At 40.1% G+C, this 23,568-nt stretch overlaps 1 protein-coding gene across 22 annotated transcripts in view; it reads right to left on the bottom strand.

Moving 5' to 3' along the window:
- The window catches only part of DRC8 (dynein regulatory complex subunit 8), a 155,548-nt gene that overhangs the window by 41,470 nt on the left and 90,510 nt on the right, over positions 1 to 23,568 (bottom strand). For 21 of the 22 annotated variants that reach the window (NR_026587.1, XM_017002543.2, XM_017002542.3 and 18 more), the window contains 3 exons: positions 1,598 to 1,677; positions 276 to 318; positions 72 to 138 (listed from right to left, as the gene is read on the bottom strand). Coding sequence is in view for 21 of the 22 variants with exons in the window: in XM_017002543.2 (XP_016858032.1) it covers positions 72 to 138; positions 276 to 318; positions 1,598 to 1,677 (190 nt within the window). In the remaining variant the exon portion in view is untranslated. Of the gene's footprint in view, positions 1 to 71; positions 139 to 275; positions 319 to 1,594; positions 1,678 to 8,148; positions 8,187 to 23,568 lie in introns of those variants that run through there. The other variant, XM_017002545.2, reaches the window with a different exon arrangement.

Below are 23,568 nucleotides of genomic sequence, written 5' to 3'. Positions count from 1 at the left end.
TTTCGCATAACTGTTAACAAATTATTAATTCCTCACATAAGTCATTGTGATAAGTAATAAATCACACTTACCTTCTTCAGTCATATACTTGATCAGCTCGTCCTTAGTAAGAAACCCACGTTTAGCTGAATCTAAAACCTAGGGGAAAAGAAAAGATAGATATTATATTTTTCATTTGGTGAATAAGTTCTACATGATAAATTTTTCATATATGTGTGTATGTAAATAAATGTATTTATATATATGTATATGCATATAAGCTGGAGTTTACATACCTCAAAAGCTCGAAGAAGGACATCTTCTGGAATTGGTCTGTATCTATAATTATGCAATAAAATGAGTAAATGCCGTGGTATTTACCGCAGTCTTTACATAATAAATCAGCAGTCTCCAACCCTTTTGGCACCAGGGACCAGTTTCATGGAAGACAATTCTTCCACAGACCAGGGGAGGGGAGGGATGGTTTGGGGATGAAACTGCTCCACCTCAGATCATCAGGCATTAGATTCTCATAAGGAGCATGCAACTTAGATCCCTAACACGCACAGTTCACAATAGGGTTCGCATTCCTATGATAATCTAATGCCAATGCTTCTCAGACAGGAGGCGGAGTTCGGGCAGTAATGCTCACTCTCTTGCTGCTCACCTCCTGCTGTGTGGCCCAGGGGTCCTAACAGGCCAGGGACTGGCACCAGTACCTGGCCTGGTGGTTGGGGATCCCCGTAATAAATGACCACATAAAACAAAATAGGGCTGGGTATGGTGGCTCATGCCTGTAATCCCAGCACTTTGGGAGGCTGAGGTGGGCAGATCATCTGAGGTCAGGAGTTCGAGACCAGCCTGGCCAACATAGTGAAACTCTGTCTCTACTAAAAATACAAAAATTAGCCAGGCATGGTGGCATGCACGTGCCTGTAATCCCAGCTACTCGGGAGGCTGAGGCAGGAGAATTGCTTGAACCCAGGAGGTGGAGGTTGCAGTGAGCCAAGATGGTGCCACTGCATTCCAGCCTGGGTGACAAAAGCGAAAGTCCATCTCAAAAATAAAATAAAATAAAATAAAATAAAATAAAAGCTGCTAACATACTGGGATGATAATACTTGCCTCATTGAAATCTTTTTGGATTTCTGGATATGAAAGTTGAAAATACCTCAGCCCCACAGGAAATATTTAGTGCAAAATCACTGACATGTTTGAGGTTATCTATTAGCTTTTTGGACATCAATTTATCTGGGCACAAGACTTCTATGATGAACCAACTATGGTAAGCTAATGCTATATTTTTGCTAGAAAAATATTAGGATTCTTATTTATCATTGATAATTCAAAACAGAAGATACTAAGAATGTTGATTTACGATCTTTATAGCTTATTTACCCTCTAATTATGCTTTGCTTAGGATAACACTAGTGTGGTTGATATTTCTAAGCAGGTACCAACTGCCAGTTCAGAAGTAGCTTGAAAGGTTAGAGGGAGGCCACCTTAGGACACACTGCTTGAGTATAACACACAAAGTGAAAAAGCCAAGCGTCCTGAAATGAATGGATTCATAATTCTGACCATTACTTTGCCTTAACAATTGCATTTACTTACTTACTTTCTTTCTAGTAGTATTTCTGTCATCACCGGAAGAAATTTTTCGAATCGAATGTATCCAGTGGGTTCTTCTTCCTCTACCTAAACATTCAATAAGTAAATAGCCATTTAGTCATTCAACAAATGTATTCAGCAACTAGTTGTTCCAAGCACTGTGCCAAGTGCTAGAGACTCTGGATGGTGAGCACACTTGGGCGTGACCCCTGCTCACAGAGATGGTCCTTTACTTTATCTTTTTAAGATTTACCTTCATCATTCAACTGGAGCACAGCTGATACTCTGATCAGGGAGACAGACATTAATCAAGAAACAGCAACCAAAGACACTGTGAACTGATGTAAGTACAGTGAGGGGAAGGAGCATGGGTCTGTAAGAACAGCCAATAAAGAACACTCGGCCGGGCGTGGTGGCTCACGCCTGTAATCCCAGCACTTGAGGAGGCCAAGGCAGGCAGATTACTTGAGGTCAGGAGTTCAAGATCAGCTTGGCCAACATGGTGAAACCCCGTCTCTACTAAAAATACAAAAATTATATGGGCGTAGTGGCGCACACCTGTAATCCAAGCTACACGGGAGGCTGAAGCAGGAGAACCACTTGAACCCGGGAGATGGAGGTTGCAGTGAGCCGAGATCGCACCACTGTACTCCAGTATGGGCAACAGAGCGAGACTCCATCTCAATAAAAAAATAAAAAATAAAAAAATTGCCGGGTGCGATGGCTCACGCCTGTAATCCCAGAACTTTGGGAGGCCGAGGTGGGTGGATCACGAGGTCAGCAGATGGAGACCATCCTGGCTAACACGGTGAAACCCTGTCTCTACTAAAACTACAAAAAATTAGCCAGGCATGGTGGTGGGCGCCTGTAGTCCCAGCTACTCAGGAGGCTGAGGCAGGAGAATCACGTGAACCCAGGAGGCAGAGCTTGCAGTGAGCCGAGATCAGGCCACTGCATTCCAGCCTGCGTGACAGAGCGAGACTCCGTCTCAAAAAATATATATATATAGATAAATAAAAAAATAAAAAATAAATAAAATAATAAAATAAAATAAAAATAAAAAAATAAAGAACACTTCTTAGACCAGGAGACCAGGGAAGTCATCCATGAGGAAATAACACTCCAGCTGATTTAGAGAGTATGAGTAGAAGGTAATGAGACAGAGACAGCAGGGGAGAGACAGTCACCTAGAGGAAACTGAATACGCGAAGACTCTCTGCTGACACATTGGCGGCTAGGAGGCTGGAGTACAAGGAGCAGGGAGAAGGCTTCAAGATGAGGCTAGAAAGAGAGACAGGGGCCCGACGGCAGGGCCTTCTTGTCCATGACAGTGATAAGGTTGCTAGCCTGAGAACAATGGGAAATCAGTGACGGTCTCATAGATGCATGTTTTGGAAGAGCACACTGCTTGAGGGTGAGGCAGCTTCTTCAGTAGTCTAAGCAGATATGACAAGGGCTTAGATTGGAGTGGCGGCCATGGAGAGAGAAATGGATGGCTTCAAAAAATATTTAAGAAGTGAAATTGGTAGGACCTGGTCCTGCATTCATTATGAGTAAGGATGGAAAAAACAGAGGATTCAAGGATGACTCCCAAGATTCTGACTTATACCACTGGGATAAGGTGATGCTTTTCCCTGAGATAAGGAATCCTGAGTGAGGGACCAGCTGAGGGGACCAATCACGATCTCAAGGACCAACTACATCTTAAATCATCATAATACGTATTAAGTACCTATATGGTAAATAGAACTTTGTCACACCACCACTAAATTAGAAGACTATACCTGAGAAAGAGAATGTTTGGCACTTAGCACTAGTAAATGAGAACAAAACAGATCCCTGCCCGTGGGTTCGACTTGGATGGAGTGGCTGAACAAAACACCATTGACCTTAACTTTCATGTCGGGCTATCTATAAGGAGCTGTACATTTTCCACTCCCTCTCAAGACTCCTATTAAAAGGCTCAAAGATCCCAATTCAGCAGATGAGCTTTGGACAGATTTATTCTTCGAGCAAAAACAAACAAACGAAAAACTATAGGTTGCTGCTAAGTGGAACACACCATCATCCAAATGACTCCTATTTTTTAATGTTTATACTAGATTCACACCTAGCAAGGTAGAACCCTCAGACTCCACTCTCGGCAGAAAATTCAGCGCATTCAATGACAGAATTGTGTGTTTCAGAATTTCTGAGCCCATCCATTCATGAACAATTGTCTTCAGCTGCCTCTAAGTCCAAGGCGAGCATTTTGCAGGTGAATGTTCATATGGCTCTGACGCACTTGAGCAGCACTCTGCAACTCCCCACCTCAGGAGCCCCGGGCAAATACAATGGCAATCCTACGAGGTTATCTCCGGAGGAGGAATTTTAAAATTAAAATGTTGAGTTGCTATTCTGATTACTCCAGAAATTTGCTCCAGAAGCAAGAGCAATGGTTTTTTTCCTTTCCTCCCACCACCAACAAACCACTGTAGAGCAGGCAGTCTCAACCTTTAAAAGACCAAAACCCCTCTTTAGCTTACATGCACCCTGATCAAGCTACGAACCGTGGTTTGTTTTTCCAAAGGAAGTTCAACTCTATAATTCCGTCTCCATCGTGGAAGAACTCACAAATGACACATAATATACGCCTCATATCGCTTCCCCGGGTTCCCTCACAACTTTCACAAACCCTCAGGGATGTGAACATTATGGTGCCAACTCCGCAGATCTTTCTTGCCTAATAGATGTTTGTGGAACCAAAATTATACGAAAATAAGTTAAAACAAAACAGCCAACTAGTCAGAACAGCAGAGGGGTCATAAGTGTTCTTTGTTATTGTTGTTTTTACAGAGGGACAACGAATAAACAGGACTTGTGGTTAGAAAAGAAGAAGAAAAATGATTATGACCATCTTCAACTTGGGCAGAAATTGTAAAATCTTTCTATGACCCAACACTGTCCTCTAGAGGCCGTATCCAATTTGTTCTTGAGTACAAAAACATGTATAAGCAATGGCATTAAAAACAATAAAATTATACAATAATTCTAAGTACAGAATTCATGGAATGTTTAATATAGACACTATTTTATATTATAAAAGGATTTTATATTTGAATAACCTTTGGATTTTAGAATAGTTTTAGATATACAGAAAAGTTCCAAATATAATACAGAGTTCCCATATACCTCTCTCACTCAGTTTCCTCTATTTTTTTCCAGTCTTACTGAGGTATGATGGACAAATAAAAATTGCATATATTTAAGGTGTGCCACACGATGTTTTGATATACATATACCTTGTGGAATGATTACCACACAGGCTAATTAACTTATCCACCGACTCACTAGTTACCTTTTTTGTATGTGTGGTGAGAATACTTGAGAACTACTCTCTTAGTAAATTTCAAGTATAGAATAATTATTAACCATAGTTACCACACTGTACATCAGAAATTGTTTTTCTTATCACTAAAAGTTTGTACTCTTTGACCAACATTTTCCCATTTCCTCTACCCCCACCCCCGGTTAACTACCCATCTACTCTCTGTTTCCATGAGTTTGACTTTTGAAAATGTAACAGAGATCATGCAGTATTTGTCTTTCTGTGTGTCTGGCTTATTTCACTTAGCATAATGTCCTCCAAGTTCATCCATGTTGTTGCAAATAGCAGGACCTCCTTTTTTAAGGCTGAATAATATTCCATTACATACGTGTGTGTGTGTGTACATATACTATCCACTCATTTGTTTATAGACACGTTGTTTCCATATCTTAGCTACTGTGAATAATGCTGCAATAAACATGGCAATACAGATAGCTCTTAGAGATTCTGATTTTATTTCTTTTGGGACTTATACCCATAAGTGGGATTGTTGGATGATATGGTAATTCTATTTTTAGTTTCTTGAGAAACCCCCGTACTGTTTTCCGTAGTGGCTGTGCCAATTTACACTCCCACCAACAGGTTCCTTTTTCTCCACACCCTCACCAACACTTTTGTCTTTTTGATAGTAGCCATTACAATAGGGGTGAGGTGACATCCCATTGTGGTTTTGGTTTGCATTTCCTTGATGAACAATGATGTTCATATACCTGTTGGACATTTGTACATCACCTTTGAAAAAATGTCAGGTCCTTTTTTCCGTTTTTTTTAATTAGGTCGTTTTTGTTTTTGCAATTGAGTTGTCTGAGTTCCTTATATGTATTGGAATATTAATCCCTTGTCAAATGTATGGTTTGCAACATTTTCTCCCATTCCATAGGTTGCTCCTTGTTTCTTTTGCATGCAGAAACTTTTTAGTTTGATGTAGTGCCACTTGTTTATTTTTGCTTTTGTTGCCTGTGCTCTTAGTATCATATCCAAAAAATCATTGCCCAGACCAATGTCAAAGAGCATTTTCCCTATGTTTTCTTCTAGTTTTATGGCTCCAAGTCTCACATTTAAATCTTTAATCCAGCTTGAGTTGATTTCTGTGTATGGTGTGAGATACGGATCCAATTTCATTCTTCTCCATGTAAATAACAGTTTTCCCATCATCATTCATTGAAGACACTATCCTTTCCCTATCGTGTATTCTTGGCACTCTTGCTGAGGATTAGCTGGCCATTTATGCATGGCTTCATTTATAGGCTTTCTATTCTGTTCCAATAGTCTATATGACTGTTTTTGTGCCAGTACCACACTGTTTTGATTACTTTTGCTTTGTAACATAATTTGTAATTTCATTTGTGATACAATTCCTCTATTGTTAACTCTTACATTATTATGGTACACTTGTCATAACTAATGAATCAATATTAATATATTATTAGTCACTAAATTCCAAACTTTATTTGGATTCCATTAGTTTTTCTAAAATGCATTTTTCAAATATGGTATATTCCAATGTCATAAAAAAGAACAAGAAGAATAGGGTAGATGTTTAATCATGCTGATACCTTGATCTTAAACTTTCAGCCTTTAGAACTGTGAGACAATAAATTTCTATTGTTTAAGCCACTCTGTGTGGTGCACTATCAAAGCGGCTCTAGCAAACATTATAACTAACATATATTCTAAGTGTATATGACATATTTTTAGCCAAAGACTTTGAATCACTATCATCAAGCAGAAGTCTGATCAAGTTTGAATCACTATCATCAAGCAGAGCAGATATTCAGAATTCAGAACTGTATTTCACGCCTGTAATCCCAGCACTTTGGGAGGCTAAGGTGGGCGGATCACGAGGTCAGGAGATCGAGACCATCCTGGCCAACACGGCGAAACCCCATCTCTACTAAAAATACAAAAATTAGCTGGACATGGTGGTGTGCACCTGTAGTCCCAGCTACTCGGGAGGCTGAGGCAGGAGGATCTCTTGAACCCAGGAGATGGAGGGTGCAGTGAACCAAGATCGCACCACTACACTCCAGAGCAAGATTCTGTCTCCAAAAAAACACAAACAAACCAAAAAAAAAAATGTATTTCACAGAGTTGATGCAGAAATGCAGAAAAAATGGTGCAATTGGGACCTATTTTCTCCAGGAGAAAACTCAATTATACTGAAATGAATTCAAGAAAGATTCCATATATTATATCAGACATGTTTGAAAAGACTACAAAGTCATTGCATTTCTTCACTTAAAGCAAAGTCGTGTTGGGAAAATCCACTTGACTTCTTTCTGTATTGGTCAGAGTCTTTTTTAAAAAACAGATGTTCTACAGTACTAGGTATGAAAAGTAAATAAAAAAGACATTACCTTTCTTACAGAGAAAAATCACAATATATTCCCCATGTTAGACCAATAATAGTTAAGAATGTTATTAAAATTCATCCTCTAGCTTCAGCATGCTCATGTCTAACAGGGGGACCAGTAACCTAAAGGATGGTTGTGAAGGTTCCATGAGATATGAAGGTGCTTTGTGAACTCTGAGAGTCAATCATGACGATGATGATGATGATTTGTACCAGCAGTGTACACACTTCTGGTTCTATGACATGCAATGGCACTTTTTCCTAAAAGACTCAATCGCTGGTGCTGAAATTTCAGGCACATCCTCCCCGACCCACAGTGTAGACCCACCTGTTTATACAGAAGTTTGCCTCTGCCGCCTATCCGTAAAATGCCACGTGGAATGTGGCAATTAAATAAGATAGCGCACGGAATTGCTAGGCGCATTCAACACCTTCTCCCTCCCCGCTTGTTGCCTCGCCCCATGTCTAGAGGGCAGGCTATGTGGGTTAGCGGTGATGCCTCCACCTCTGCTGTTTCCCCACATGGCCTCTTTGGACTGAAAAAAAGGCGAGAGTAACAAATATCCACCAAACTCCACATCCCTCCCTTCAAAAGACAGAAGCAACTCACAAAACAAATACATCTTGTTACTGCAAACATGAATGAGGCAAAGTAAGTTAAGTCTAGTTTGTTTCTTCTATGGGAAGGGCTAACGTGGAGTAATAATTTAAAAGTAAGCCGGGCAGCGTTTGTGAATGTACAGGAAAAACGTCTTTGCCAGAAGATCCCTCGAGTGTAGCCTGCTAAAAGTACCATTCGCAGGGAATTCATCTTAACAGTGTGCCAGCAGATGCTCACCTGGAAAACCAAGGCCCTGATACGCCTGGCTTCTCCTCCTGCAAAGAATTAAGGTGGAGTAGGTGACCTGAAGAAAATATACTGCCTTCATTGCCACACAAAGGGGCCCAAATTCTGGAGGCTAACACAGTGCCTTCCGGCACTCCACAGTCTCTCTCCTCCTCTTCCCCAATATGGAGCCATCTCAATAAATACTGTGGGACTTTTTAATAATATCAACATTTATCTCAGCCTCAAAGCATGTGGCAAATACTGTGCTTCTCACTCTACTTTGGTCTAAATCAATTTTCTTAATCCATTTTGGATTTGAGGAAATACAGGCACAGAGAGGTTAAGTGCCTATCTGAGGGCGTCAGGGTCCGGCAGGTGTTTTGACGGGATCACAGCCTGGAGTTCTTAACTTCCACTTGCATCGAGAAATCATCAGGCCATCTCTTTTCTCATAAAAGCATTATTTATTTTAATGCTGAACCCACTAAATAGGCACAATAAAACACACCGTGAAAATTCCTTTCTCCCCAGTGACATAACAATCAGTCAATAAACTGAACCATTTCATGCTTCACAAAAAACAAGATAATGTCAGTAGTTAAGATGGTTTATAAAGCATCTGCATTTCAGCTAGTTCCAGGTCACCAAATCAGATACACATGTGAATGTTTAAAAACTGTTTGTAGTAAAAAATATAAAAACCATGAGATAGTTCACATTAGGCTCTAAATAGTATAGATACAAATTTTGACATAAACTATGTTTCAAAACCAAAACATAAACACAATTTAGAAAATATTTCTCTACCTTGAATAGAACAAAATCACAATAATTAATTGGCATCTACCAAAAATGTTGTCTTTAAAAACAAAAATTTTAAAGCCACTTACTTTAGAAAAATTATTTATTCTAAAGATTCCAGAGGCTGCTGTGCAACCACGAGGCTGCACGAGTCTTCTGGGTTATAAATTCCTTTCCTATTTAAGTGCAAGTGTTAAAAACAGATGAATCACCAGAGAGTCTAAGAATCAACAGGTGGCTAAATCCGGTACTTAGTAAGATCACTTCCAACCGAGAGTTTCTCCAATTTGAAGAGATGGGGGAAAGGCTGCAGCAGTGCCTGTCAGACCATTAATTTCCCTGTTTTAATCCTCTGAGGGTGGGGCTTCAGGAGCACCAGCTACACTAATTGTTTCATCCTCTCCAGTTCCAGTTTCTCTACTTAAGGGTGAGTGCCGCTCCCACGCCAAGTAGTTTTATTGTATTTGATAGAGATGGTGATTGCAGCAAGTGTTGCAGCAATCATCTCACTAAGATACTCTTCAACCCCACTCAGACCAAAAACAATGATTTAAAGTTGTGTTGCAATATGATTGGAGGAAAAGCTTTATTCTTGGTTGTGATTAAGCAAAGGAGCAGTGGTTAACACAATAAATATCTGAATATACTGATGAACAAAAAGTGACCCTCCTTTCCCTAATAAGAAAATCCCCTAAAGGAGTTTTGGTCAAGTTAAATATATAAACTTTACTACGTCCACAGCTATGTTTCAGATCATGTATGTAACGACGTTAATTTAAAAATATTGCTCTTTATTTTTGCATTTTAAAAACCAACTTTATTCAAACTTTCAACATGCATCTTCAATAGTGTCTTTGTGACCACTAGACAACTTTTTGAATGATATAATGCAGTTTTCTTTTCTTCTTTTTCTTGTTACAGAGATAATACATGTTCTTTGTGGAACAGTGAAAAATAGAGACGAGCACAAAGAATACAAATCACGCAGGGATTCGATCCTGTCATCTACAGATCACTTCTGTATATACAGTGCTGGAGAGCTTTGTTTTAGTTTTATATTCATTAATACAATGCTATATCCACATATTATATTTGTGTATGTATTATATATACATGTATATATATATTTTAGCAAGAAATAGAATTCTAGCGTCTTTTTTTATTTACTTAACACTGTGAACATCTTATCAAGCCATTAGTCTTTTTTTAATTAATAAATTTGAGTTTGTTAAGAGTAGTTTTATGTCACAGCAAAATTAAGTGGAATGTCCAGACAGTTCCCATATGCCACGCCCCGTCCCCTGGATTGCTCTCCCCATCCTCAGCCTCCCCTACAATCAGCATCCCCACGAGAGTGGTATATGTGTTAAAAATTAATGAAGCTGGCCGGGCGCAGTAGCTCATGCCTGTAATCCCAGCACTTTGGGAGGCCGAGGTGGCCAGATCACCTGAGGCCAGGAGTTTGAGACCAGCCTGGCCAACATGGTGAAACCACACCTCTACTAAAACTACAAAAATTAGCTGGGTGTGGTGGTGCATGCCTGTAGTCCCAGCTACTCGGGAGGCTGAGGCAGAAGAAACACTTGAACCTGGGAGGCAGAGGTTACAGTGAACCAAGATCATGCCACTGCACTCCAGCCTGGGCAACAGAGTGAGACTCTGTCTCAAAAACAAACAAACAAAAAAAATTAATAGAGCTACATTGATACCTCTTTATTACCCAAAGTTCATAGTTTTCATTAGGTTTAATTCTTTGTATTAGGCTGTTCTTGTATTGCTATAAACACTTGAGACTGGGTAATTTATAAAGAAAAGAGGTTGAATTGGCTCACAGTTCTGCAGGCTGTACAGGAAGCATGGTGCTGACATCTGCTTGGTTTCTTGGGAGGCCTCAGGGAGCTTCCAATCATGGTGGAAGGTGAAGAGGCAACAGGCACATCACATGGCCAGAACAGGAGCAAGAGAGAGTGCGGAGGGAGGAGCCACGCAGTTTTAAATGACCAGAGCTTGTGTGAACTCAGAGCTTGTGTGAAGTCATTTATCACCAAGGGACGGCCCGAGCCATGCCTGAGGGATCTTCCCCCATGATTCAAACGCCTCCCACCAGGTCCCATCTCTGACACCGAGGATTACATTTTAACATGAGATTTGGGCGGGGACAAATATTCAAACTATATCGCTTTTGGTGTTGTACATTCAATGGGTGTGGACAAATGCATAACAACAAGTCTTCACCATGATAGTATCACACAGAGTAGTTTCACTGCCCTCAAACTCCTCTGAGGCCAGGCGTGGTGGCTCATGCCTGTAATCCCACACTTTGGGAGGGCAAGGTGGGTGGATCACTTGAGGCCAGGAGTTTGAGCTCAGCTTGGGCAACATGGCGAAACCTCATCTCTACAAAAATTTTTAAAAATTAGCTGGGCATGGCATGTGCCTGTAACCCCAGCTGCTTGGGAAGCTGAGGTGGGAGAACTGGCACTCCAGCCTGGGTGACAGAGTGAGACCCTGTCTCAAAAAAAAGAAAAAAGAAAAAAGGTTTCTTCAATGAATTTTCATGGCTTGATAACTCATTTTAGTGCTGAATAATATTCCATTGTCTGGATGTACCACATTTATTTATCCATTCACCCACTAAAGGACATCTTGGTTGCTTCCAAGTTTTGCCAATTATGAATGAAGCTGCTATAAGCATCTGTGTGCAGGTTTCTGTGTGGCCATAAATTTTCAATTCCTTTGCATAAATAAAAGGAGAAGAGTGCTGGGTTATGTGGTAAGAGGATGTTTCGTTTTCTAAGAGAGTGCTGCACTGTCCTCACCAATGGTGAAGGAGAGTTCCTGCTGCTCCACTTTCTTGTCAGCATTTGTTGTTGTCGGTGCTTTGGATTTTATCCACTCTCATAGGTGTGTGGTGGCATCAGTCTTTCACGACATACTTGTAATGACTGCACAGCATTCCATTCCACAGACAGACCAAGATTTGTTGAACCATTTTTGTGTTAATGGACACTCAGGTTGTTTCCAGTTGTTGTTACAAACAACCGTGTGACTAACATCTTTGAAGTAAAATCTTTCTGTTTGTTCTCCATACAGTATCTCCTCCAGAAACTGATCAATGAGCTTGTATATTTTTTTTAGCTTATTGATAAGTATTGCTAAAATGCCGTCCAGGAAGGGAGTATGAATACCACCATTTTCTACTGCTATTAGCAATGTGCAAAAGTGTCAATGCCAGGAACTTACCACTTTTAGAAACTCTTTGCCAATTTCAATATCCAAGGTTCATTATTTCTAAGTTCTGCCTTCCATAAAGCATGGACACGGACACAATTCAGACAAGTTCCTTGCCATGTTATAGCAACGACGTCCTTTCTTCCGGATTCCAATACCTCATCCCTCATTTATGTCTGTGACCTCAACAGAATTGCCTTTGCCATCCATATTTCTACCAACATTCTGTTCTTGTCTACTTAGATAATCTCTAAGAAGATTGAGGCTCTCTCTACAGATCTCTTCTCTGAGCCCTCATCAGAATCACCATTAGTGCTCTGTTCACAGCAATCCAGGCTTTTCTAGCATACACCTCAAAGTCTTCCAGCCTTGACCCCCAGTTCCAAAGCCACTTCCACATTGTCAGGTATTTGTTATAGAAATAGTCCCACGAAGATCAATTTCGGTCTTAGTCCAATTGTGCTGCTATGACGAAGTACCTTAGACTGGGTAATGTATAAACAGCATACCTAACAGCTTGCAGTTATGGAGGTTGGGAAGTCCCAGATCAGGGTACCAGCAGCCTTGGTGTCTGGTGAAGGCCTGGTCTCTGCTTCCAAGATGGGGCCTTGAATGCTGTGGCCCCCAGAGGGGATGAGCACTGTGTCCTAACATGGCAGAGGGATGCAAGGGCAAAAACTAGCTAATTCTCTCCAGCCCTTTTATAACATTGCTAATCCCGTTCGTGAGGGATCTACTCTCTCGACTTAATTGCCCCCTGAAGACTCCACCTCTTAATACTATCTCATTGGGGTTTAAGCTCCAACATATGAATTTTGAAGGGGCACATACATTCTGACCACAGCATCATAGAAACATGGCAATTAAGTTTTACTGAATAAAAGAGATAAATAAAACCATTTAGGAAAAAATTACCCAAAATGTACAAAGGGCTCCAAGCTGTCAGATATGACCCAGGGAAAGGATGACTATAAATTATTCCAATCTAACTGCTTACTACCATCAGACTGGTTTGTCTAAAGTACAACCTCCTTCAATAAAAACAAATACGAATTAAAATAAAATAAAATGCAAATCTCATCATGTTATTCTCATTTAAAACCCTTCAGTAACCCATCACTGCCTTGGCTTGCTTCACAAGGCCCTCTGGCATCTGAAAAGGGCCTATACTTTATTCAAATAATGTTTATCATGCAGGATCCATGATATTAAAAATTGTTAGCAACCTTTACCAATAGATGAATGGATATGTAATATGGAATATTCATTTAATGGAATATTATGTTTCTATTTATTAATATGGTCATTGCCATATAATTAAATATTAGGAAGCGATTGCACTCCTATTATAGTAGAATATTGGCATGGAAAATATTAATGATATTAGTATAGGTGTCCCTCTGTATCCATGGTGGATTGGTTCCCGGACTCCTCATGGATACCAAAATCTGCAAATACTCAACTTCCTCATATAAAATGGCACATTATTTGCATATAACCTATGCACATCCTTCTGTATACTTTATTGGTTTATTTTTTATTTAGAGACAGGGTCTTACTCTGTTGCCCAGGCTGGAGTGTGGTGGTGCCACGATAGCTCACTACAGCCTTGAACTCCTGGGCAAAAGTGACCCTCCTGTCTCAGCTTCCCAAGTAGCTGGGACTATAGGCACACACCACCAAGCCTGGCTAATTTTTAAAAATTTTTTTGTAGAGACAGGGTCTCACAATGTTGCCCAGGCTGGTCCCGAACTCCTGGCTTCAAGCAATCCTCAAGCCTCAGCCTCCCGAGTAGCTGAAACTATTGGGGTGCACCCCCATGCCCAGCCCATCTTCACCATTTTTAAGTGTACAGTACAGCAGTGTTAACTACATGTACATTGTTGTGTAACAGCTCTCTAGAACGTCTTCATCTTGCAAAACTGAAATTCTGTACTCATTGAACAGCAGCTCCCCTTTCCCCTCCGCCATTCCCCGGCCACTACTGCTCTATTTTCTGTTTCTAGGAGTTGGGCTATTTTGGATACCTCACATGCAGTATTTGTGCATTAATACTTATAACTACAGGTGACCCTCAAACATGGGTTTGAAATCCATGGGTCCACTTCTCCATGGATTTTCTTCTGCCTCTGTTACCCTGGAACAGCAAGACCAAACCCCTCCTCTCCTCGTCCTCCCCAGCCTACTCAGTGTGAAGACAATGAGGACGAGACCTTTATGATGACCCACTTCCACTTGTTGGATAGTAACTATATTTTTGCTTCCTTATGATTTTCTTAATAGTATTTTCTTTACTCTGGCTTACTTTATTGTAAGAATTCAGTAAATAATACATATAACATACAAAATCTTTGTTAATTGATTGTGTATGTTATTGATATGGCTTCCAGTCAATGGTAGACTATTAGTTTAAGTTTTGGGGGAGGCAAAATTATACTTGGATTTTCAACTGCACGGGGGTCGGTGCCTTGAACCCCCATGTTGTTTAAGGGTCAACTGTAGCTTGTTTTGCTTAGCATAATATCCTTAAGTTTCATCCATGTTATAGTAGAACAGGATTTCTTTCTTAAAGCGTTGGTTTCTAAAAACTAGATAACAGAAGGGAAAAATCATTTTGATGTAATAGTGAGTGAAAAAGGTAAAATATTCTGGTTGTGTCTGAGTGATGCACAGAAGAGAGATCATTCCCTTCCTTTTTTTTCTTGTGCAATTTAATCAGCATGCATTTTTATAATGAAAGCTTTGTAATAACATGGAGATATAATTTGTGATATAATTAGGTGGAAAAAAGCAAGATTCAGAATTTTACCTACTGAATTATACTATAAGATTATAGTTCTGCCAGGTATGGTGGCTCACATGCTCACACCTGTAATCCCTGCACTTTGGGAGGCTGAGGTGGGAGGATCACTTGAGGCCAGGAGTTCAAGACCAGCCTAGTCAACATTTCAAGGCCCCGTCTCTAAAAAAAAAAAAAAAATTAGCTGGGAGTGGTGGCATATACCTGTAGTACCAGCTATTTGGAAGGCTGAGATGAGAGGACCACTTTAGTCCAGGAGTTCCAGGCTGCAGTGAGCTATGATCTTGCCATAGTACTCCAGCCTGGGTAACAGAGTGAGACCCAGTCTCTAAAAAAAAGAATACGATAGCAACAAAAAAAATTACAGTCCAGTTAAAAACCTACACAGAAAAATAATATGTAAGGAAGTGTACCAAAATATTAACAATGATTATATTAAGGTGATGGCATTGTTGGAAAGGAAGTTCCTATTTATTTAAAATTTTTTGTAATCTGGATATTACCTATACAATAAGAAATCTGGAATAAAACCGTATTTATTAGTCTATTGCCGTGATTGTTTCTGTTCTATATAAAAACACGTTTTATTTATCTAATAAAGAAAAAACCACTTTTGAAGATTTCCCTGGGTCACGTTTTCCCGCTGCTGATCATGGCTTTGGCATCGTTAAATGTTTTCCTACCAATTACAAATAAGCAATACTCTCAGTATATGCTTTTTACAATATATTCTCCTCATTGCCCCAAATTTACCTGATGCTACTCGAAGTAATGGCTGGATGGTAGCCATTACTAACTAATCTGCAAAGTACCATCAGCTCTATAATTAAATTCCAGCATCTAACATAAATAAAAATTAGAGCAGATCAATTCCATTCTCCCCCATCTCCCAAAGGCAGGATGTGTAGGAACAATAACAGATAAAACATTTCATATCACCAACTACTTCAAAATAAGAACATAATTACTCCCACCCTTTCTCATTCTCTGAGAAACTTGATACAGTCAAATTCCAAACGATGTAAAGTCCCAGGGCTCTTCCAGAAGCTCAATGATAGAGTCCAGGCACAGGCTGATAGAAATTCCCACTTCACCAGGGTGTAGATTACGTGGATCTTGTTCTACTAACTCAAAAGCCAATTCCGAAGTTTCAAAGAAAAAAAATCCAAGGATACTTAACCAATTAAGAATAATGAAAGATGGAGATTTGGGACCTCCGGGGCTTGTGGTATGCCTGGAGTAGTATGATACTTTCCATCCAAGATGAAAAGTGTAGGAAATGATTCACTAGTGTCATTACATTATTTTAACTGGTTACTGGGGAGTATTTATCACACTTTGACATCATAGTTGTCTCAACACTATAAATGTAACATTAAACCACTGACCACAGATATAAAAAAAACTGTAACATTTGTTTATGGGTTTCCTCACTTAGCGAAATGAGTAGGGACTGAATACCATCTCAAATATTTAAAAATGCATGTATTGGGCCAGGCGTGGTCATGTTGGCCGGCACCTGTAATCCCAGCTACTCAGGTGGCTGAGGCAAGAGAATCACTTGAACCTGGGAGGTGGAGGTTGCAGTGAGCCGAGATCATGCCACTGCACTCCAACCTGGGCGACAAAGTGAGACTCTGTCTGAAAAATAAGTAAATAAGTAAATAAATGCCATTGCAGTCATTCATGGAGAAATGACAAGGCTTGGACTAAGGTGATGGATGTGGAAATGATGAGAAAGTTAAATTTATAATGTGAAGGTAGAGATGGCAGAAATGTGTTGATGTATTATAATATCGGATTTTTCCAGAAGTCCAATTTCAATTTCTTGTCACTGGTGAGTTTAATCCAGTTGCATTTATTATGATTTTTTTTTCTTTTTGAGATGGAGTCTCACTCTGTCACCCAGGCTGGAGTGCACTGGCGCAATCTCGGCTCACTGCAAGCTCCGCCTCCCGGGTTCACGCCATTCTCCTGCCTCAGCCTCCCGAGTAGCTGGGACTACAGGTGCCCGCCACCAAGCCCGGCTAATTTTTTCTACTTTTAGTAGAGATGGGGTTTCACCATGTTAGCCAGGATGGTCTCAGTCTCCTGACCTTATGATCCGCCCACCTCGGCCTCCCAAAGTGCTGGGATTACAGGTGTGAGCCACCATGCCTGGCCTATTATGATTATAAGTACCATTATCTTATGTTTTCTAGATACTCTGATTATTCTATGCTTCTTTTCTGTCTTTTTGGACTGACAGAATGCCCTCTAATTCTTTTATCCTCTATATCAGTTTGGAAGTTATGCATTCACTTTATACTCTTTTGTAGTTACACTTAATATTTACACATGCATACTTAATTCACTCCAATGTATTACATCTTATATGCTATAATTATCAGTGCTTTAGTCCCAACATTTACTAATGCTCTCTTTCTAAAGACTATTACAATGTCTCATCTAGATTTACATTATTAATACTTTTCTCAGGAGTACTGTTGCTATTTTCTGACTAATCAAATATCAATGAAACTTCTGTGTTAAGGAGGCAAACTGTATATCTGCATCTAACTTTACTCTCTCTCAAACCTTATTAAAATTGCAGTAAAGAAACATTTGTTAAAATAATCATACACCTACTTAGGAAGAATAGGAAAAAATATAATGGGAATAAAATTTTGGAAGCTGAGAAGTAGATGGATGAGTGGCAATAATCTAGTAGATCTAGAAAACTGAACCCAAGACAGTAGTGAGTAAAGAATCCTCAAAAAGCATTGGTTGCTTCTGGAAATGAGGATGAGGGACCAGGAACTAAAATTAGGGGAACTAGGGTAAAATATGTTTGAAAAGCTGTAAATTCCCTCTCAGTTTTCCCCACTAAGTGACTGCCTGCCCTCCATCCCTGCAGGAGTTTCGAGATTTACCTTCTAAAGAGTGTAAACAGAAGGTGTCCGAACTGGCAGCTAGACGCTTTTGCCTCCCAAGCAGAAGACTGAACACTCTATTCCAAAGAATCAAGCCTGCACGACAGAAAAATCCCCAACACTCCGATGCGGGTGATTCCCAGATTACCCAGTGATGAAGTTTAAAGTTGACAAGTTCCATGCATGTGTTTGTTAGGAACTGACAGCCAAGGTTTATCAGACACTGAGGAAAGCTACTAACAAAAACAAAGACCAGAACAGACACAGGTATCAACTTGGAGAAAACAGATTATGCAAAGAGAAGAAAACTTCAAATAAAGTAACACTATTATCTTCAGAGATCTGAAACAAGAACAGGATGCTATTTAAAAAAGAACATTCAAAGAACAAAAACAAGCTACTGGAAATTTAAAACACAACAGAAATGAGAAACTCAATAAAAATATTGGAAGACAAAGTTCAAGAAATCTACCAGAGAGAACACAGAGACAGAGATGGAAAATAAGTGAAAAATAAGAATATTAGGCTGGGCGCGGTGGCTCATACCTATAATCCGAGCACTTTGGGAGGCCGAGGCGGGCAGATCACTTGAGGTCAGGCGTTCAAGACCAGCCTGGCCAACATGGTGAAATGCCATCTCTACTGAAAATACAAAAATTAGCCGGGCGTGATGGCATGCGCCTGTAATTTGGGAGGCCAAGGCAGGTAGATCATTTGAGGTCAGGTGTTCAAGACCAGCCTGGCAAACATGGTAAAAACCCTGTCTCTACTAAAAATACAAAAAAAAAAAAAAAAAAAAAAAAGAAGAATGTTAAAGACTAGTCCAGTCCAGAAACACAAAAATGAATAATAGGAGTTCCAAAAAACAGAAAAAAGAAAACAAAATAATTGCAAGAAAACTTCCTGGAACCAAAAAATACAAGTCACTAGTTTGAAAAGGCCCACCAGGTACCTAACACATTAGATATGTGTTTACACCAACGTAAATCTTTGTGAAATTTCAAACTCTGGGGAAAAAAAACTGTCCAGAGTTTCAGGAAAAAAAAAATTAATGTTTATATACAAAGGATTGGGAACCAGAATGGATTTGCACTATCTCAATAGCATTACCAGGAACATGAAGATGAGCAGTGCCTTCAGAACTCTTACTGAAGACCTGAAAAATCCAAATCCATTTAATGAAGAAAAATCCATTGAATGTAGAATTCTATTTCCAGCCAAAGATTAGCATAATCACTTTCAAACATACAAATCTCAAAAATTTTACCCCCAAGGCACTCTTTCCCAAGAAGTTATCAAATAATATGTTAAAATGCTAGAGGAACTAGAAAGAGGAAAACTTGGGATAGAAAGAAGTCCAACCCAGAAGGAAAACAGTGACTCCCAGAAATATCACAAAGATCCCAGAATGATGGCTGTGCACAGATGTCGAGGTCAACCATCATATGTAAAGGGACAGTTTTGTTAAGAACTATCATTACCATGGTCTCCCTGCCATGGTATCCTCTTTTGATCCAAGAACAGAATTCCAGGATAAGCCTGGCCCAGTTCTTATCACTGACCTATCTTTACTATGTGCTGGTCAAGTTTCTGCTCACTCTTGCCCCACTCCTTGGATCTGATGAGGACCTTCATTTCATTCCTAAGTAGTTTTATGCTTTGATCTAATCCTGAAAGCCAGGGGTAGGCCCTAGTGAGTTTAGAAATAAAATATATAGAGCAGCCAACTCCTTTTGGTCATATTCTACTGGACACTTAACACCTGATTCGCATTACAGCTCTTCCAGACGACAACTATGGCAGCCATGAAAATTCAATTTTCTTTCTCTTTTTTTAAAAAAAAGTTGAGATCTGGGCCGGGCGTGGTTGGTCACGCCTGTAATCCCAGCACTTTGGGAGGCCGAGGAGGGCGGATCACCTGAGGTCAGGAGTTCGAGACCAGCCTGGCCGACATGGTGAAACCCCGTCTCTACTAAAAATATAAAAATTAGCCGGGTGTGGTGGTGCGTGCCTGTAACCCCCAGCTACTCGGGAGGCTGAGGCAGGAGAATCACCTGAAGCCAGGAGGCAGAGGTTGCAGTGAGCCGAGATTGTGCCACTGCACTCCAGCCCGGGCGACAGAGTCAGACTCCATCTCAAAAAAAAGAGTTGAGATCTGGCTCTGTTACCCAGGCTGCAGAGCAGTGGGCCACCATTGTGCCTCATTCCTGAGCTCAAGCAATCCTCTCACCTCAGCCTCCCAATGAAATGCACCTCTTAAATCTACAGTTGCAGGAAATGTAATTGAATGATGATCCTAGCCATCATATTTGAGCCAAGGCCATCCATCCAATGGGCTGCTCCAGGCAATAATGAAGTGTTAAATCCCAGCATAATCTGGCTGAGGAAGTGCTGGGCCTAATAAGGAAAGAAAAAGACTATACACTAAAATCGCAAAAGGAATTAGATAGGAATTGGCTCCTGAACTAGGAGCTAGGGGAGTACCCCTGAGATTGGATGAGAGTGCTTGACCAAGAGGTCTGGAATATAAAACTGGATAAGCAAGAATTCATCGACTTCAGGCACTTTCTCAGGACACAGACTTAACACTCTGGCAAGGACCCTAGGAGATGGGGCACCCTTGCTGCGAGGGTGAGACCTGGAACAAGTGACACCAAACCCTGAGTGAAGTGGAGACCTGGAACAAGCGACACCAAACCCTGAGTGAAGTGGCAAACCAAGCTGACGGAAGTGGGAGGGCAGAATGGGCATCTAATGAGTCAGAAGACTCACTGGAGGATTCTGTTCCATGGGAGGGCTCAGATGCACTGCTCACCAAGGGTATCAGGCTGGTGAGAAAGGCACTGGTGTCACTAAGTTCTGTGATGGTGTCTTCTGCAAGCCAGGGTTGACTAGATTAGGTAATTGTAGACCTGGGTTTGTTAAATCCATGTAATGATTTGCTAGCCAGCTCTCCTACACCCAGGTAACAGAGGCCAAGCAGAGTTGTTTGAGCACAGAAGTTAAGAGGCCTCATATAATGAGCAGACAGATTGAAGAGGGAGTCACGGGGAAAGGTGGAGATGGTTAATAGAACATAGCACGCTTAGGAGCAAAACAGATGTGGAGCCAACAAAGGTGCTGCCTAACATCTACAACCAAAAAAGGGCAAGGATGGGGAAGGGGAGGATGCAGATGGTCACCCCAATAAAAAGTCATAATCCGTGCTTAGTGCCTAAGCCTGAGTCAATAATCTGACAAACATAGGTCTTACTTTTAAATCATCTTTTAGTTTTCCTTTGTAATTAGTTGAAGTTCTCCATAATTCCACTTAGGTTGGAACTTCAGAAGACATAGACCTCTAAATAACCTTTCCATTTGTATGAAAATGCCATTATCTCCTCCCAGCTCCCATACCCTGAAGATCCTAGAAGGCGCTAACTTAATATTAAAAGAAGGATTATTTGGTAGCCTATATGTCGGTAAGATTTTTCACTAATCCTTCTCACAGTTGCCAGTTTTTGTGATATTCCAAAAGGCAGAAAGTATTTGCAGGAAGTTGCTATTTATAGAATATAAACTGCATGGATCAAAGTTAAATGATTTTTAAAATGATCTATTTCAAGAGAAACACCATATTTGAAATTGATCTTCAGGAAGCAAAGGGCTGAAAGTTATAAAAATTAAAGAGAAAAGAATGTGTCTACACTAAAGTTCAAGTACATGACAACCAGAGAATTTTACAAAGGTTTCAACTTTTTATAGGACTATTTTTTGTTTGTTCGTTTTTTTGAGACAGAGTCTTGCTCTGTCACGCAGGCTGGAGTGTAGTGGTATGACCTCAGCTCATTGCAACCTCTGCCTCCCAGGTTCAAGTGATCCTCCTCCCTCAGCCTCCCAACTAGCTGGGATTACAAGTGTGTACCACCACACCCAGCTATTTTTTCTATTTTTAGTAGAGACAGGACTTCACCATGTTGGCCAGGCTGGTCTCAAACTCCTGACCTCGAGTGATCCACCTGCTTCAGCCTCCCCAAGTGCTGGGATTGCAGGCGTGAGCTGCTGTGCCCAGCCTTATAGAGCAATTTTAAAGCATATACACACATACATTTAAATAGTTTGATCTCTGAAACTATTATAGAACATTTAGCAATATGACATTTACCCCTAGATGTTGACTTTTACGGGGCTTTGATTTTCTAAATGTGTTTACATGTATTCACTATTAAATGTATTTAAATATGTACAAATACATACTTGTATTTATCAATTCAAATTTGTGCTTTTTTTATGTGCTTTTTTCCCACCCATTTATTTGGAAAAGTTCTTAAAAGGTAGTTATACCCAAAGCTGTTTATCAGTAGAATTTAATTAGAGTAAATTGTGTTCGTATACAAATATAGAAAAATATTTACAGAGCTTAATAGCTCAGTGACCCCTACTGGTACATAAGTATTCTAAATATCTGTAATTTTCAAAGGTTGTGTCATGTCCCTAAAAAAGGGTAAAAATAAAATAAAACTTTAGGACCTAAGCACCCACTGTGGCTAACTGCCCAAACCAGTGGGGATTATTATCCTAGAGAGCCACCAGCAGTGCAAGCAAACTCAAGTATGTACTGCATGCCCACCAAGTAACAGTTGATTCCTCGGTTATTAAATTTAATCCTCATAAAAACATTTTCATGTTATTATACTCCTTTTGCAGATGTGAAACGAAGCTTTGAAGGATTAAGTGGCTCATTGAAGGCCACATGGCTATAAGTGGTAGCTGTGGAGTTTGAACTCAGATCTTCTAGTACTAGATGTGGTATTTGTTCTACTTTGGCACAGAAGCCCATAGATCAGGAGTTGGCAACCTTTTTCTGCAAAGGCCAGATGGTAAATATCTTAAGCTTTCCAAGCTGTAGGTCTCTGTGGCAACTACTGAACTCTGCCCTTGTAGTCAGGAAACAACCATAGATAATATACAAATAAATGAGTTTAGCTGTGTTTCAGTGAAACTTTATTTACATGCACAGGCGGTGGGCAGGATTTGGCCAGGGGCCATGATTTGCTAACTCCTGATAGAGATTAAAACATACAAACAAACCATAAAGGGACTAGACTCTAGAGATCCTCCTTTTCTGACCTTCGGAGGTATTTTTCATTATTGCTTCACTTACTATCCTGAGCATGTGATGATGATGATTTCGCTGTAAATTCGTCCTCTAGTTCTTACCTCTTCCACACTTCCAGCTTGCTTTTCCCTAACACTAATTCCAGCTTTGTGCAGAAACACTTTAAGGCAGTAATCAGTATCTTTTTTTAATGTGAGCATCAATTCAGGAAAAACAAGCTTTTCCTCTTACTCTTGGTAAAAATAGCTTTATTGAATCCCAAAAGGTAAAAACAATGTGTTCTTACAACTTAGATTCCTTTACTGAATATTTCCAAATGCTTCAAAAAATTGCTACTGCTTTTTGGTCACCAAGGTGCTAATATCTGTGCAGCAGACTCATCTTTCTAATCTTCCCTTCCTTAACTTTACATAATGCTTTAGGATTCAAAACATGCATTCTTGTACCTTCTTTCATTTATCTTTGAAGCAAACTTTGAAGTAGTTATTATTATGGAGAAACTGACACTCAACAGGGGTTAAGTGACTCACCACGGTCACAATTCCTTCTCTCCAACTTAATGTTGAACAAGCAGGTACTGCGCTAGG

The sequence above is a fragment of the Homo sapiens genome, chromosome 1 (assembly GCF_000001405.40).
Source record: "Homo sapiens chromosome 1, GRCh38.p14 Primary Assembly".
NCBI classification, from domain to species: Eukaryota; Metazoa; Chordata; class Mammalia; order Primates; family Hominidae; genus Homo; species Homo sapiens.
The sequence above is the reverse complement of the archived record's forward strand: the minus strand, read 5'-3'. Positions and strand labels throughout refer to the sequence as shown.